The sequence below is a fragment of the Homo sapiens genome, chromosome 1, assembly GCF_000001405.40.
Source record: "Homo sapiens chromosome 1, GRCh38.p14 Primary Assembly".
Classification (NCBI taxonomy): Eukaryota; Metazoa; Chordata; class Mammalia; order Primates; family Hominidae; genus Homo; species Homo sapiens.
This window is the reverse complement of record NC_000001.11, coordinates 158,331,532-158,350,198: the sequence shown is the minus strand read 5'-3', so window position 1 is coordinate 158,350,198 and position 18,667 is coordinate 158,331,532. Positions and strand designations below refer to the sequence as shown.

The window sequence follows — 18,667 nt, the reverse complement described above, 5'->3', positions numbered from 1 at the left end:
CCCCCTCTTATGTTTTCCTGAGGCTGCCCCAGTCACATTCGCAGATCCCCTTTTGCCAAAACCAGAAAATTCTCTCAAAACATATTATAAGATGTGCCTTTGGACAACTTAATCTTTCTATGTAAGAAATTTATGGGAGATAACTCATTAAAATTGATTTAAAATAAAATTTTTGAGTACATTTGTACAAATGTAAGAAAATGTTCCATCTGCTAATTTTTTTTCAAAGAATTTAAATACGAGTTTTATTCTTTTGGCTTATTTTCAGGAAAGATTGCAATTTCTACATACTTATTTTCTTGTTTGTGTATACTTACATTTCTTTAACATTTATTCAAATATATTTTTCAGCTTTAGTGAGGTACAACCAACAAATAAAAATTGAGTATAAAAAAGTATTTATTGCCACTGAGCTGTACATTTTAAAATGGTGAAGATGATAAATTATATATTTATATTCTACCTTAATTTTTTTTAAATTGGGTATACTTAAGGTGCACAACATGATGTTATGATATATGTATATACTGTGAAGTAATCGCCACAGTCAAGTTATTACCATATCCATCACTTCACATAGTTACATTTTTTCTTTTTTTTTTCTTTTTGAGACGGATTCTCACTCTGTCACCCAGGCTGGAGTGCAGTGGCATTGAGAGGTGACAGCGTGCTGGCAGTCCTCACAGACCTTGCTTGCTCTCGGTGCCTCCTCTGCCTGGGCTCCCACTTTGGCAGCACTTGAGAAGCCTTTCAGCCCGCCGCTGCACTGTAGGAGCCCCTTTCTGGGCTGGCCAAGGCCGGAGCCGGCTCCCTCAGCTTGCAGGGAGGTGTGGAGGGAGAGGCGCGAGCGGGAACCTGGGCTGCGGGCGGTTCCAGCTGGAGTGCAGGGTGGGCGTGGGCTTGGCGGGCCTGCACTCGGAGCAGCCAGCCGGCCCTGCCGGCCCCGAGCAATGAGAGACTTAGCACCCGGGCCAGCGGCTGCGGAGGGTGTACTGGATCCCCCAGCAGTGCCAGCCCACCAGCGCTGTGCTTGATTTCTCACCAGGCCTTAGCTGCCTCCCCGTGGGGCAGGGCTCGGGACCTGCAGCCCGCCATGCCTGAGACTCCCACCCCCTCCATGGGCTCCTGTGCGGCCGGAGCCTCCCCGATGAGCGCAGCCCCCTGCTCCACGGCGCCCAGTCCCATCAACCACCCAAGGGCTGAGGAGTGCGGGTTCACGGCGGGGGACTGGCAGGCAGCTCCATCTGCAGCCCCAGTGCAGGATCCACTAGGTGAAGCCAGCTGGGATCCTGAGTCTGGTGGGAACGTGGAGAATCTTTATGTCTAGCTCAGGGATTGTAAATACACCAATTGGCATTCTGTCTCTAGCTCAAGGTTTGTAAACACACCAATCAGCACCCTGTGTCTAGCTCAGGGTTTGTGAATGCACCAATGAACACTCTGTATCTAGCTACTCTGGTGGGGCCTTGGAGAACCTTTGTGTCCACACTCTGTATCTAGCTAATCTGGTGGGGACGTGGAGAACATTTGTGTCTAGCTCAGGGATTGTAAACTCGCCAATCAGCACCCTGTCAAAACAGACTACTTGGCTCTACCAATCAGCAGGATGTGGGTGGGGCCAGATAAAAGAATAAAAGCAGGCTGCCCCCAGCTAGCAGTGGCAACCCGCTGGGGTCCCCTTCCACACTGTGGAAGCTTTGTTCTTTCGCTCTTTGCAATAAATCTTGCTACTGCTCACTCTTTGGGTCCACACTGCCTTTATGAGCTGTAACACTCACCTCGAAGGTCTGCAGCTTCACTCCTGAAGCCAGCGAGACCACGAGCCCACCGGGAGGAACGAGCAACTCCAGACGTGCTGCCTTAAGAGCTGTAACACTCATTGCGAAGGTCTGCAGCTTCACTCCTGAGCCAGCGAGACCACGAACCCACCAGAAGGAAGAAACTCCCAGCACATCTGAACATCAGAAGGAACAAACTCCGGACACACCGCCTTTAAGAACTGTAACACTCACCGTGAGGGTCCGCGGCTTCATTCTTGAAGTCAGTGAGACCAAGAACCCACCAATTCCGGACACAGCATGATCTTGGCTCACTGCAAGCTCCGCCTCCCAGGTTCACACCATTCTCCTGCCTCAGCCTCCCGAGTAGATGGGAGTACAGGCACCAGCCAGTATGCCCGGCTAATTTTTTTATTTTTTATTTTTATTTTTTGTATTTTTAGTAGAGATGGAGTTTCACTGTGTTAGCCAGGATGGTCTCGATCTCCTGACCTCGTGATCCGCTCGCCTCAGCCTCCCAAAGTGCTGGGATTACAGGCATGAGCCACCGCGCCTGGCCATTTTTTCTTATTTTTTATAGTGAGAACATCTAAGATCCTCCCTCTTAGCAATTCAAATACTACACAATAGAGTATTGTTCACTATAGTCACATTGCCGTGCATTAGACCTCCAGAACTTATCTTGCATAACTGGAACTATCTACCTTTTACCAACATCTCCTCACTTCTCCCTTACTGCAATCCCTGGAAATCCCCATTCTATTCTGTTTCCATGAGTTTGACTACTTTCGAATCCTCACACAAGATTATGCAGCATTTTTCTTTCTGTTTCTGGCTTATTTCACTTCACATAATGTCCTCCAGTTTCACCTGTGTTGTTACAAATGGCAGGATTTTCTTTTTAAAGATTGAATAACATCCATTATATATATCAAATTTTATTTATCCATTCATATGTCAATGAACACTCAGTTTTTTTTTCACATTTTTGCTATTGTGAATAGTGCTGCAATGAACATGAGAGTGCAGATAGCTCTTTGAGATAGTGATTCTATTTCCTTTGGACATATTTACAAAAGTGGGATTGCTGGAACATATGGTAATTCTATTTTTAATTTTTTGAGGCACCTGCGTACTGTTTGCCATAATGGATATACCAATTTACATGGCTACCAAAAGAATACAAGGGTTCTTTTTTCTCCACATCCTCATCAACACTTCTTTTCTTTTGTATTTTTAACAATAGCCATCCTAACAGGTAGGAGGGGATATCTAACTATGGTTTTGATTTGCATGTCTCTGATGATTAGTGATATTGCGCACCTTTTAATATATCTATTGGCTATTTGTATGCTTTTTTTTTAAGAAAAGTGTCTATTCAGATTCTTTGTTCATTTTTAATTAGGGTTTTGTTTTGTTTTGTTTTGTTTTGCTATTGTGTTGCATGAGTTCTTTATGTATTTTGACTATTAAACCCTTTTCAGACATATGGTTTGCAAATACTATCTTTTTTTTTTTTTTGATGGAGTTTCACTCTTGTTGCCCAGGTTGGTGTGCAGTGGCACAATCTCAGTTCACTGCAACCTCTGCCTCCCAGGTTCAAGCGATTCTTCTGTCCCAGCCTCCTGAGTAGCTGGGATTACAGGCGCCTGCCACCACACCCAACTAATTTTTTGTATTTTTAGTAGAAATGGGGTTTCATCATGTTGGCCAGGCTGGTCTCAAACTCCTGACCTCAGGTGATCTGCCCACGTTGGCCTCCCAAAGTGCTGGGATTACAGGCGTGAGACACGGCACCCAGCAGTTTACACGTATTTTCTCCCCTTCTGTAGGTTGCCTCTTCACTCTATTGTCTCCTTTGCTGCACAGAAGCTTTTTAGTTTGAAACAATCCTGTTTGTCTATTTTTGCTTTTGTTGCTGGTGCTTTTGGTGTCATATCCAAAAAAAAATCCCATAATAAAGGGCATATATGAAAATCCCACAGCTAACATCATAATCAATCTTTTCTCTAAGATCCAGGACAAGGCGTGAATGTCCACTCTTGCTACTTCTATTCAACACAGTGTTAGAAGCCCTAGACAGAGCAAGTAGATAAGAAAAAGAAATAAAAGGCATCAAAATCTAAAGTAAAAGGTAAAATTATCTGTCTGCAGCAATAATCTACAAAATCGATATGATTTATAAAATCTACATGATGATGTACACAGAAAACCCTTAATACTCAACAAGAAAAATGATTAGAATTAATAAATTCAGTAAAGATGTAGAACACAAAAATCAACACACACATATCAATGGTGTTTCTATACACAATAAACTATCATGAAAGGAAATTAAGAAAACAATCTCATTTATAGTAGCATAAAAAGAATAAAATACTCAGGAATAAGCTTAATCAAAGAGGTGCGCAGTGGCTCATGCTTGTAATCCCAGCACTTTGGAAGGCCGAGGCAGGTGGATCACGAGGTCAAGGGATCCAGACCATCCTGGCCAAGATGGTGAAACTCCGTCTCTACTAAAAATACTAAAATTAGCTGGGTGTGGTGCCACGCACCTGTAATCCCAGCTACTCAGGAGGCTGAGGCAGGAGAATCGCTTGAACCTGGGAGGCAGAGGTTGCAGTAAGCCGAGATCGTGCCACTGCACTCCAGCCTGGTGACAGAGTGAGACTCCATCTCAAAAAAAAAAAAAGACTAATGCACTGAAAATTACAAAATATTAATGAAAGATATTAAAGTAGACACAGAAAAATGACAAAGAAAAAGTGGACAAAGCACCAGTAATCGAAGGTGATGTTACCCAAACCTGGGAATGGACTTGTAGAGGGAGCCATATATTGACCCCCATCTCCTCTTCCCAGAGCATTGCTACAAACACGCTGAAAAACAAAACAAGTGTACAGCTGACTAAGAGACTGTCAGCCCTGCTGTTAAGCACCATCTACTTGACTGCAGCCTGAAGTACATCACCAAACAAAAGTGCATTTCACCAACACTCATTGCCTGTGAAACCCACTGCAGGAAACTATCTACAACCTAGGAACCTGTACAGAGCCTTGGCTCTCTGAAAGAACTCATTCTCATATGTGTGTGTGTGTGTGTGTGTGTGTGTGTGTACATATATATATATATATATATATATATATATATATATATAAAAATAATATATGTATATATAAACCTCATCCAAATGGCAACAAATTCAAAAAGAAAAAGAAGTGCCAGCTCCCTCACGAGAAGGAATCAACACAATAACTCCAGCAATTCAAAAAGTCCGAGGTGTTTTGTTACCTTGAAAATGAACCTTAGCAATGAACCTAACCAGACTGAAATGTATGAAATGACAGATATAGGACTCAGAATCTGGATGATAAGGAAGCTCAACAAGATCTAATAAAGTTTAAATCCAGCACTTATAAGGAACTTAAATAAATTTACAAGAAAAAGAGTCCCATCAAAAAGTGGGAAAAGGACATGAACAGACACTTCTCGAAAGAAGACATACATGTGGCCAACAATCATATAAGAGAAAGCTCAACATCACTTATCATTAGAGAAATGCAAATCAAAACCACAATGAGATACCATCTCACATCAGTCAGAATGGCTATTATTAAAAAGTCCAAAAATAACAGATGCTGGTGAAGTAGTGGAGAAAAAGGAACACTTATACACTGTTGGTGGGAGTATAAATTAGTTCAACCATTGTGGAAGAAAGTGGGGCAATTCCTCAAAGAGCTAAAAACAGAAATACCACTCAACCCAACAATCCCATTACTGGGTATATACCCAGGGAAATATAAATTGTTCTATTATAAAGACACATGCACGTGAATGTTTATTGCAGCATTATTCACAATAGTGAAGACATGGAGTCAACCTAAATGTCCATTAATGATAGACTGGATAAAGAAAACGTGGTACATATACACCATGGAATACTATGCAGCCACAAAAAGGAATGAGATAATGCCCTTTATAGGACATGGATGGAGCTAAATAAAGGCCATTATCCTTAGCAAACTACACAGGAACAGAAATCAAAATACCACATGTTCTCATAAGTGGGAGCAAAATGATGAGAATACATGGACACATAGAGGGGAACAACACACACTGGGGCCTATTGGAGGTTACAGGGTAGGAGGAGGGAGAGGATCAGGAAAAAAAACTAGTGGGTACTAAGCTGAATACCTGGGTGATTAAATAATCTGTACCACAAACCTTCATGACAGAAGTTTATCTATGTAACAAGCCTGTGCAAGTACCCCTAAACTTAAGATAAAAGTGTTAAAAAAAAAGAAAGAGACATGATCCAAATAAGCATAAGCAGAAATGGAAAAGGTGACATTACAACTGATCCCACAGAAATACAAAAGATCCCCCAGAAACTACTATAAATACCTCTATGCACACAAACTATAAAATCTAGAGGAAATGGGTAAATTCCTGCAAACACATAATCTCTCAAGATAGAACCAGGAAGAATTTGAAACGCTAAACAGAGCAATAACGAGTTCCATAACTGAATCAGCAATAAAAACTTACCAACCAAAAAAGTCCCTGGACCGTCAACAAACCAGGCATCAAAGGAACTTACTTCAAAATAATAAAAGCCATATACAACAAACCCATAGCCAACATCATACTGAATGACCAAAAGCATTCCTCTTAAGAACTGGAACAAGACAAGGATGCCCACTCTCACCACTCTTATTCAACATAGTGCTGGAAGACCAAGCCAAAGCAATTAGTCAAGAGAACAAAATGCAAAGCATCCAAATAACTAAATAGGAAGTCAAATTACCTCTCTTCACTGATGATATAGTTTTATCTGTAGAAAACTCTAAAGATTCCACCAAAAGTCTCCTGGAGTGGACAAACAATTTCAATAAAACTTCAGATACAAAGTCAATGTACTAAACCTAGTAGCATTACTATACACCAATAACATTCAAGCTGAGAGCCAAATAAAGAATGCAACCCCATTTGCAGTATCCACCAAAAAAAGTAAAATATCTATGAATACCTTTAACGAAAGGGGCAAAAGATCTCTCCAAAGAGAATTACAAAACACTGCTGAAAGAAATCATACGGGACACAAACAAATGGAAAAACATTTCATGCTCATGGATTTGAAGAATCAATATTATTAAAATGTTCATACTGCCCAAAGCAATCTACAGATTTGATGTTATTTGTATCAAATCACCAACATCATTTTTCACAGACTTAGAAAAAAACTATCCCAAAATTCATATGGAACCAAAAATAAGCCCAGATAGCCAAAGCAATCCAAAGGGAAAAGAACAAAGCCAGAGGAATCACACTACCTGACTTCAAACTTTACTATTAGGCTACAATAACCAAAACAGCATGGTACTGATACAAAAATTAACAAGATAGACCAATGGAACTTAATAGAGAAATCAAAAATAAAGCATCATATTTTCAACCAACTGTTCTTTAACAAAGTGAACAAAAATGAGTAATTGATAAATAACTCAATATCCAATAAATGGTTCTGGGAAAACAGATAACCATATGCAGAAGAATAAAACTGCATTTCTGCCTTTCACCATTTACAAAAATTAACTCACGGTGGATTAACAATTAAAATGTAAGACCTGGCCAGGCACAGTGGCTGACACCTGTAACCCCAGCATTTTGGGAGGCCAAGGCGGGTGGATCACTTGAGCTCAGGAGTTCAAGACCAGGCTGGACAACATGGTGAAACCCTATCTCTACAAAAAAAAAAAACACAAAAATTAGCCAGGCGTGGTGGTGGGCACCTGTAGTCCCAGCTACTGGAGAGGCTGGGGCAGAAGCATCGCTTGAACCTGGGAGGCGGAGTTTGCAGTGAGCTGCGATTGCTCCGCTGCACTCCAGCCTGAACGACAGAGCAAGACTCCATTTCAAAAAAAAAAAAAAATTAAATGAATAAATAAGTACATAATAAAATAAAATAATATAAGCACCTATATAAACAGTTCTCCATAATAATAATAAAAAAACTTTAAACTAATTTAGAAGAGAATATTCTTAATCTGGTAAGAAAAGTTTACACAAAACACTCCCAGAAAATAAGACACTTGTTAACCTCTTAAATTTTTTTGATTGTATACTTGGAAAATCCAAAGGAATCTTTTTTTTTTTAATTTTTTTCCTCCTCATCTTCATTTTCTTTTTTTTTATTATTATACATTAAGTTCTAGGGTACACATGTACAATATGCAGGCTTGTTACATAGGTTTTCATGTGCCATGTTAGTGTGCTGCATCCATTAACTCGTCATTTAACATTAGGTATATCTCCTAATGCTATCCCTCCCCCCTTCCCCCACCCCACGACAGGCCCCCGGTGTGTGATGTTCCCCTTACTGTGTCCATGTGTTCTCATTGTTCAATTCCCACCTATGAGTGAGAACATGCGGTCTTTGGTTTTTTGTCTTTCCGATAGTTTGCTGGGAATGATGATTTTCAGTTTCATCCATATCTCTACAAAGGACATGAACTCATCATTTTTTATGGCTGCATAGTATTCCATGGTGTATATGTGCCACGTTTTCTTAATCCAGTCTATCACTGATGGACATTTGGGTTGGTTCCAAGTCTTTGCTATTGTGAATAGTGCCACAATAAACATATGTGTGCATGTGTCTTTATAGCAGCACGATTTATAATCCTTTGGGTATATAGCAAGTAATGGGATGGCTTGGTGAAATGGTATTTCTAGTTCTAGATCCTTGAGGAATCGCCACACTGACTTCCACAATGGTTGAACTAGTTTATGGTCCCACCAACCATGTAAAAGTATTCCTATTTCTCCACATCCTCTGCAGCACCTGTACTTTCTTGACATTTTGATGATTGCCATTCTAACTGGTGTGAGATGGTATCTCTTTGTGGTTTTGATTTGCATTTCTCTGATGGCCAATGATGATGAGCATTTTTTCATGTGTCTGTTGGCTACATAAAGATCTTCTTTTGAGAAGTGTCTGTTCATATCCTTCGCCCACTTTTTGATGGGGTTGTTTGTTTTTTTCTTGTAAATTTGTTTGAGTTCATTGTCGATTCTGGATATTAGCCCTTTGTCAGATGAGTAGATTGCAAAAATTTTCTCCCATTCTGTAGGTTGCCTGTTCACTCTGATGGTAGTTTCTTTTGCTGTGCAGAAGCTCTTTAGTTTAATTAGATCCCATTTGTCAATTTTGGCTTTTGTTGCCATTGCTTTTGGTGTTTTAGACATGAAGTCCTTGCCCATGCCTATGTCCTGAATGGTATTGCCTAGGTTTTCTTCTAGGGTTTTTATGGTTTTAGGTCTAACATGTAAGTCTTTAGTCCATCTTGAATTGATTTTTGTATAAGGTGTAAGGAAGGGATCCAGTTTCAGCTTTCTACATATGGCTAGACAGTTTTCCCAGAGCCATTTATTAAATAGAGAATCCTTTCCCCATTTCTTGTTTTTGTCAGCTTTGTCAAAGGTCAGATGGTTGTAGATGTGTGGTATTATTTCTGAGGGCTCTGTTCTGTTCCATTGGTCTATGTCTTTGTTTTGGTGCCAGTACCATGCTGTTTTGGTTATTGTAGCCTTGTAGCATACTTTGAAGTAAGGTAGCATGATGCCTCCAGCTTTTTTCTATTGGCTTAGGATTGTCTTGGCAATGCGGGCTCTTCTTTAGTTCCATATGAACTTTAAAGTAGTTCTTTCCAATTCTGTGAAGAAAGTCACTCGTAGTTTGATGAGGATGGCATTGAATCTATAAATTACCTTGGGCAGTATGGCCATTTTCATGATATTGATTCTTCCTACCCATGAGCATGAAATGTTCTTCCATTTGTTTGTGTCCTCTTTTATTTCATTGAGCAGTGTTTTGAAGTTCTTCTTGAAGAGGTCCTTCACATCCTTTGTAAGTTGAATTCCTAGGTATTTTATTCTCTTTGAAGCAATTGTGAATGGGAGTTCACTCATGAATTGACTCTCTGTTTGTCTGTTATTGGTGTATAGGAATGCTTGTGATTTTTGCACATTGATTTTGTATCCTGAGACTTTGCTGAATGTCCTTATCAGCTTAAGGATATTTTGGGCTGAGAAGATGGGGTTTTCTAAATATACGATCATGTCATCTGCAAACAGGAACAATTTGACTTCCTCTTTTCCTAATGGAATACCCTTTGTTTCTTTCTCCTGCCTGATTGCCCTGGCCAGAACTTCCAATACTATGTTGAATAGGAGTGGTGAAAGAGGGCATCCCTGTCTTGTGACAGTTTTCAAAGGGAATGCTTCCAATTTTTGCCCATTCAATATGATGTTGGCTGTGGGTTTGTCATAAATAGCTTTTATTATTTTGAGATACATCCCATAAATACCTAGTTTATTGAGAGTTTTTAGCATGAAGGGCTGTTGAATTTTGTCAAAGGCCTTTTCTGCATCTATTGAGATAATCATGTGGTTTTTTTCTTTAGTTCTGTTTATATGCTGGATTACAATTATTAATTTGCATATGTTGAACCAGCCTTGCACCCCGGGGAAGAAGCCCACTTGATCGTGGTGGATAAACTTTTTGGTGTGCTGCTGGATTTGGTTTGCCAGTATTTTATTGAGGATTTTTGCATCGATGTTCATCAAAGGTATTGGTCTAAAATTCTCTTTTTTGGTTGTGTCTCTGCCAGGTTTTGGTATCTGGATGATGCTGGCCTCATAAAATGAGTTAGAGAGGATTCCCTCTTTTTCTATTGATTGGAATAGTTTCAGAAGGAATGGTAGCAGCTCCGCTTTGTACCTCTGGTACAACTCGGCTGTGAATCCGTCAGGTCCTGGACTTTCTTTGGTCAGTAAGCTATTAATTATTGCCTCAATTTCAGAGCCTGTTATTGGTAGGTTCAGAGATTCAACTTCTTCCTGATTTAGTCTTGGGAGGTTGTATGTGTCCAGGAATTTATCCATTTCTTCTAGATTTTCTAGTTTATTTGCGTAGAGGTGTTTATAGTATTCTCTGATGGCAGTTTATATTTCTGTGGGATTGGTGGTGATATCCCCTTTTTCATTTTTTATTGCATCTATTTGATTCTTCTCTATTTTCCTCTTTATTAGTCTTGCTAGCGTTCTATCAATTTTGTTGATCTTTTCCAAAAACAAGCTCCTGGATTCATTGATTTTTTGAAGGTTTTTTTGTGTCTCCATCTCCTTCAGTTCTGCTCCGATCTTAGTTATTTCTTGCCTTCTGCTAGCTTTTGAATGTGTTTGCTCTTGCTTCTCTAGTTCTTTTAATTGTGAAATTAGGATGTCAATTTTAGATCTTTCTTGCTTTCTCTTGTGGGCATTTAGTGCTATAAATTTCCCTCTACAGGCTGCTTTAAATGTTTCCCAGAGATTCTGGTATGTTGTGTGTTTGTTCTCATTGGTTTCAAAGAACATCTTTATTTCTGCCTTCATTTCATTAGGTACCCAGTAGTCACTCAGGAGCCAGTTGTTCAATTTCCATGTAGTTGAGTGGTTTTGAGTGAGTTTCTTAACACTGAGTTCTAGTTTGATTGCACTGTGATCTGAGAGACAGTTTGTAACAATTTCTGTTCTTTTACATTTGCTGAGGAGACCTTTACTTCCAACTATGTGGTCAATTTTGGAATAAGTGTGATGTGGTGCTGAGAAGAATGTATATTCTGTTGGTTTGGGGCAGATAGTTCTGTAGATGCCGATTAGGTCCACTTGGTGCAGAGCTGAGTTCAATTCCTGGATATCTTTGTTAACTTTCTCTCTTGTTAATCTGTCTAATGTCTACAGTGGGGTGTTAAAGTCTCCCATTATTATTGTGTGGGAGTCTAAGTCTCTTTGTAGGTCTCTAAGGACTTGCTTTATGAATCTGGGTGCTCCTGTATTGGGTGCATATATATTTAGGATAATTAGCTGTTCTTGTTAAATTGACCCCTTTACCATTATGTAATGGCCTTCTTTGTCTCTTTTGATCTTTCTTGGCTTAAAGTCTGTTTTATCCGAGACTAGGATTGCAACCCCTGCCTTTTTTTTGTTTTCCATTTGCTTGGTAGATCTTCCCCCATCCCTTTATTTTGAGCCCATGTGTGTCTCTGTATGTGAGATGGGTCTCCTGAATACAGCACACTGATGGGTCTTGACTCTTTATCCAATTTCCAGTCTGTGTCTTTTAATTGGAGCATTTAGCCCATTTACATTTAAGGTTAATATTGTTATGTGTGAATTTGATCCTGTCATTATGATGTTAGCTGGTTATTTTACTCGTTAGTTGATGCAGTTTCTTCCTAGCATCGATGGTCTTTACAATTTGGCATGTTTTTGCGTGGCTGGTACCAGTTGTTCCTTTCCATGTTTAGTGCTTCCTTCAGGAGCTCATGTAGGGCAGGCCTGGTGGTGACAAAATCTCTCAGCATTTGCTTGTCTATAAAGGATTTTATTTCTCCTTCACTTATGAACCTTAGTTTGGCTGGATATGAAATTCTGGGTTGAAAATTATTTTCTTTAAGAATGTTGAATATTGGCCCCCACTCTCTTCTGGCTTGCAGAGTTTCTGCCAACAGATCAGCTGTTAGTCTGATGGGCTTCCCTTTGTGGGTAACCTGACCTTTCTCTCTGGCTGCCCTTAACATTTTTTCCTTCATTTCAACTTTGGTGAATCTGAAAATTATGTGTCTTGGGGTTGCTCTTCTCAAGGAGTATCTTTGTGGCATTATCTGTATTTCCTGAATGTGAATGTTGGCCTGCCTTGCTAGGTTGGGGAAGTTCTCCTGGATAATATCTTGCAGATTGTTTTCCAACTTGGTTCCACTGTCCCCATCACTTTCAGGTACACCAGTTAGACATAGATTTGGTCTTTTCACATCATCCCATATTTCTTGGAGGCTTCATTCATTTCTTTTTATTCTTTTTTCTCTAAATTTCTCTTCTTGCTTTGTTTCATTCATTGGATCTTCCATCACTGATATCCTTTCTTCCAGTTGATCAAATCAGCTACTGAAGCTTGTGCATTCGTCATGTAGTTCTCGTGCCATGGTTTTCAGCTCCATCAGGTCATTTAAGGGCTTCTCTAAACTGGTTATTCTAGTTAGCCATTCATCTAATCTTTTTTCAAGGATTTTAGCTTCTTTGTGATGGGTTCCAACTTCCTCCTTTAGCTCTGAGAAGTTTGATCATCTGAAGCCTTCTTCTCTCAACTTGTCAAAGTCATTCTCTGTCCAGCTTTGTTCCATTGCTGTTGAGGAGCTGTGTTCCTTTGGAGGGAGAGAGGTGCTCTGAATTTTAGAGTTTCCAGTTTTTCTGCTCTGTTTTTTCCCCATCTTTGTGGTTTTATCTACCTTTGATCTTTGATGATGGTGATGTACAGATGGGGCTTTTATGTGGATGTCCTTTCTTTTGTTAGTTTTCATTCTAACAGTCAGGACCCTCAGCTGCAGGTTGATTGGAGTTTGCTGGAGGTCCACTCCAGACCCTGTTTGCCTGGATATCAGCAGCAGAGGCTGGAGAACAGCAGATATTGCTGAACAGCAAATGTTGCTGCCTGATCGTTCCTCTGGAAGCTTCATCTCAGAGGAATACCCAGCCGTGTGAGGTGTCAGTCTGCCCCTGCTGGGGGGTGCCTCCCAGTTAGGCTACTCGGGGGTCAGAGACCCACTTGAGGAGGCAGTCTGACCATTCTCAGATCTCAAACTCCGTGCTGGGAGAACCACTACTCTCTTCAAAGCTGTCAGACAGGGACATTTAAGTCTGCAGAGGTTTCTGCTGCCTTTTGTTCAGCTATGCCCCGCCCCCAGAGGTGGAGTCTCTAGAGGCAGGCAGGCCTCCTTGAGCTGCGGTGGGCCACACCCAGTTCGAGCTTCCTGGCCACTTTGTTTACCTACCCAAGCCTCAGCAATGGCAGGTGCCTCTCCCCCATCCTTGCTTCAGCCTTGCAGTTCGATCTCAGACTGCTGTGCTAGCAATGAGTGAGGCTCCATGGGCATGGGACCCTCTGAGCCAGGCGCAGGATGTAATCTCCTGGTGTGCCGTTTGCTAAGTATTGGAAAAGCTCAGTATTAGGGCGGGAGTGACCCGATTTTCCAGGTGCCATCTGTCACAGCTTCCCTTGGCTTGAAAAGGGAATTCCCTGACCCCTTGCACTTCCCTGGTGAGGTGATGCCTCACCCTGTTTCGTCTCATGCTTGGTGGGCTACACCCACTGTCCTGCACCCACTGTCTGACAAGCCCCAGTGAGATGAACCGGGTACCACAGTTGGAAACGCAGAAATCACCCTCTTCTGCGTCACTCACGCTGGGAGCTATAGACTGGAGCTGTTCCTCTTCAGCCATCTTGGAACCACCTAACCTCTTAAAAAATCTTATCTGGGCCAGGTGCGGTGGCTCACGCCTGTAATCCCAGCACTTTGGGAGGCCAACACAGGTGGATCACCTGAGGTCAGGAGTTTGAGACCAGCTTATCCAACATAGTGAAACCCCGTCTCTACTAAAAATACAAAAAAAATAGCCACACATGGTAGCAGATGCCTGTAATGTCAGCTACTTGGGAGGCTGAGGCAGGAGACTTGCTTGAACCCAGGAGGTGGAGGTCGCAGTGAGCTGACATCGCACCATTGCACTCCAGCCTGAGTGACAGAGCAAGACTCTGTTTAAAAAAAAAAAGTAGCTATCAATAATTCTATTTATCATTTTACTGGAGGTCATAGGCCAGGGAAAATGGGCAAAAAATATAATAAAAGGTATAACAATTGAAAAAAATCTAATGAAACTTTCATATTTAGAGATATCATTAGAAAATCCAAAAGGATCTATAGATAAAATATTAAATGTAATAAGTTAATTTAACATGGATACTGGTAGCAAGGTCAAAATATTTTTTTATTTATAATATACAGTAGACCCCTCCTTAATTCATGGTTTTGTTTTCCACAGTTTTAGTTACCCATGGTCAATGGCAGTCTGAAAATATTAAATGGGCAATTCCAGAAATAAATAATCTATAAGTTTTCAATTGTGCACCATTCTAAGTAGTATGATGAAATTTCAGGCCAGCCTACTTCATCTGGACAAGGATGCAAATCACCCCTTAATTATCATATCTCCACTGTATATGCTACCCAACCCTTAGTCACTTAGTAGCTGGCTCAGTTATCAGATCAGCTGTCCTGGTCTCCAGTGCTTGTGTTCAAGTAACCCTTATTTTACTTAATAACAGCCCCAAAGCACAGAAGTAGTGATGCTTGTAATTCAAATATGCCAAAGAGAAGCCATTAAGTGCTTCCTTTAAATGAAAAGGTGTTAAGTTTTTGACTTAATAAGGAAAGAAACAAAATATGCTGATGTTGCTATGTTCTACAGTAAAAAGGAATCTTCTTTCCATAAAATTGTGATGGGGAAAAGGGAATTGTACAAATTTTACCATCACACCTCAAATTGCAAAGGTTATGATCAGAGTGTGTGGTAAGTGCTTAGTTAAGATCTTAAAAAGCCATCAAATTTGTGGGTGGAGGACATGAACAGAAAGGGGCTCCAATTGGCAGCAATCAGGTTCAGCACTATTTGTGGTTTTGGGCATCCACCAGAAGTCTTGGAATGTATCCTCTGCAATTCAGAAGGGACTACTCATCGGCTACTTTGTATTCTTTGACCTACATCTCCTCATTTCCTCCCACCACCACCTGCTTCCTGCCCCTGGTAATCACTGTTTTATTCTCTATTTCTGTGTACTCAACTCTTTTAAGATTCCACATATAAGTGAGATTATGCAATCAATATCTGAGAAAACCTGTGTCTTGATGAGCTTATCAGAAGTGTACATGGTCTTTAGGCCCATAGGAGAGTATGAGTTAGAAGCATCAATTAAAGCTTCGATTTAGAAGTGTGCACATGTTGATTTTTTAATTTGAAACAAATATTGGGACTAGGGATAATCTTTCCCTAGAAGACAGGTTTCATATGTCAAGCAACAATGGTACTAATGCAGAGTGGAAATACAAACCATGCCATAGAGCTGGACAAGCATAGTCACAGTGTAGTATGGAAATGTGTGACATTGCTATGTGGACACTGTGGACACTGCCATGTCCATTTCTGTACTTTTGAAACAGAAAGGAAATATGAAATACTGGATATGATATGTGAGAAAGAATGTAACTTGAAAACCTGGTTAATTTCTAGACCTTTCAAACTATCTCAATTGCTCCACTTTTCAGGGAAAAGACAGTGTATAAAGTAAATTTTTCCCTCAAATATGACATTTGAAGAATTACAAAATTTTCATTTTGTCTGGCGATTTTCCTAACTAAATTTAAATTTACAGTCATCTTCTTGCAAATGTTGCCAGAAACAAAACGGAGTCACTAAGGAAAAAAAAAAAAAACTGGCAGAGCTAGGGAAGACTATGCAGAGAGGGTTCTCACACTTGTATACCTAATAAGAACAACTACCACGAAAGACTCTGCAAAAACCACAACCTTGAAAAGGCCATCACAACCTTACATGAAAAATGCCTCAAAGACATCTGCCCTGCCAGCAACTGTCTGTTTAACCTCTGACTGGTGTCACCGTTGTTATTGATATTTGTAGGCAAGGATAATTATTTCAAAACAAATATGTAATTCTCTTAATTTTTTTTCTTTAAAAAATTTGCCTTCCTTTACCTCCCTGAGTATGCACATCGTTTACTATTGCATATATATTCCCATTGCAATGCTCTATTCTCAAATAAATATCTTTTTCTTTTAGAGAGCCTCTTTTTCTGTTTGTTATTTAGGTAGACATTCTGCACATATTTGGCAAAAACTTACACGCTGTTGAAACTGAAACCAAGACCTCTTCCTCTATCTTCCATCTCTCAGGCACAACTCAATTTCTAACTCAGTCTTTGGCAATACTAATATTCCTTTCTGGTAACATAATTTTGACTGGATTACTGTTCTCATGTTTTAGGCCTAACTTGTTTAAAAATTTGATGAGTGGCCGGGCGTGGTGGATCATGCCTGTAATCCTGGCACTTTGGGAGGCTGAGGTGGGCAGATCACAAGGTCAGGAGATCAAGACCATCCTGGCCAACATGGTGAAACACAGTCTCTACTAAAAATACAAACATTAGCTGGGCATAGTGGCACATGCCTACAGTTCCAGCTACTTAGGAGGCTGAGGCAGGAGAATCACTTGAACCCAAGAGGCAGAGGCTGCAGTGAGCCGAGATCATGCCACTGCACTCCAGCCTGGGCAACAGAGCAAGACTCTGTCTCAAGAAAAAAAAAAGTTTGATGAGTGTGGGGCTAGTGTTGTGATAGTCTCCTGTGCCCTGCCAACTCTTTTGGATTATTTTTTAAAATGAGGAACATTTCAGATTTAGTTTGTAGCAATTCAACTTTGGGAGTCTTGCAAGAACTCACTTATTTTAATGGAAAATAGCCCAGGTTGTCTACCAGCTTTTCCTGAGCTCTGTTTTGGGTGTTCTACCCAAAATAAAAAACGTATAAACACAAAAATAGTAATGTTCATGTCTGTGACAGCCAATGTTAAGTCTCTGCTGTTGTCTATGGCTGTTATCCAAAAAGTAGATTCAATTCTGTCATGTATTGGAGTCTGGGAATGTTGTTAAGAGATACATACATTGAAATTTGGAGAGCTGCTCTGTATTTATCAATTAGGCAGTAATAATCTTGGATGAAGGCTAGTCTTATTAATGTTGTGAACCAGTCTTATTAATGTTGTGAACCAGTAGTGTCCCCAGGAATAGAGAACACTACACTACTCACTTTGCATTTTCTTATCCACATAATAGAATTAGTTAGTGATAACCCTCTTTACTCGGAATCGATTGCTGCCACATTTCTGCATGATACATAGATCTCTGCAAATATGTGATTTTTTTCCTAAATGGAGAAAATCCAAAAATTCTTCTTAAAATTTTTCATGGGCATACAAGAAGATAGGAGGTGACATCTTAAAACAAGTATCTCTGAACTTTTTGTATAAAAAAAAGCAACCTCTTTGCTCTATTATTAATACCACATGTGGTGATATGAATGCCCAAATGTAGACAGCAGTTATGAGATATTACAAGAGAAGAAAAAAGCTCTGCCGCTTATGGCAACTTACCCAAAAAGTTATCTTTGACTTAGGCTGGAGGTGCACATAGCATAGCTCCTAGAGTTCTGTTTATGTCATGAATATTTGTTACTCAAAACTCCATAGGCCAAGAGCTCCTGAAGAGAAGGTCACATGCTAGCAGCAATTGTCATTTTTTCCCTCAAATATTGCTATAGTATAATTTTGTTTGAATTATAAACTTCAGTCTTTATTATATTTGATTCTGGCATTTTGGTTTGTAGTGCTATAGTACAGGAAATGTTTTAAATGCTTTGCCTTTATGTAAGTGAATATCGGTACACACACATACACATACACACACAGACACAGACACACACACACACACACTCACAGCCAGTTTAGAATGTGGGGTAAGGAACACCAGACAAAGAGGGCAATATAAGAAAGAGAAGACATTGAAAACATTGGGAAGAGGCAGTAACAGAGTGCCAGAGAAGATAAGGCAGCTGGGAGGGGGAGAAACTAAGTGAGGTGGATAAACTAAAAGCATCCTTCTGGGTTAAAGCAGACTAAAAGCTTAGCAATTGCTTAATATCACCATCTTATCCTATAGATGTGGGAATAAAGGCTAAGGAAGGAGAAATGAAAATGCAGAATCATATGGGGGCTTTTCCAAGGAGGTATGAAGGAAGGTGAGGACAGGGAGAGCGGCTGGAAGTCAGGGGGTAAGAGAAACTCTAAAAATCAGGGCTTGAGGGAAATAAAAGGTGAGGTAAGAGGCTCAGGGCTGTGGGAGGCACATTTTTCTCTGAAAAGCAGTTTGGATGAGGAAGAGATTT

The 18,667-nt window shown here is 40.2% G+C and overlaps 1 annotated feature.

Annotated features, from left to right (window-relative positions):
- Positions 13,617 to 13,666: a silencer, noted in NCBI's record as "silent region_1451". NCBI's record gives its function as "represses an Ori minimal core promoter by ATAC-STARR-seq in GM12878 lymphoblastoid cells {active_cell/tissue: GM12878}" and the evidence as "EXISTENCE:reporter gene assay evidence [ECO:0000049][PMID:35858748]".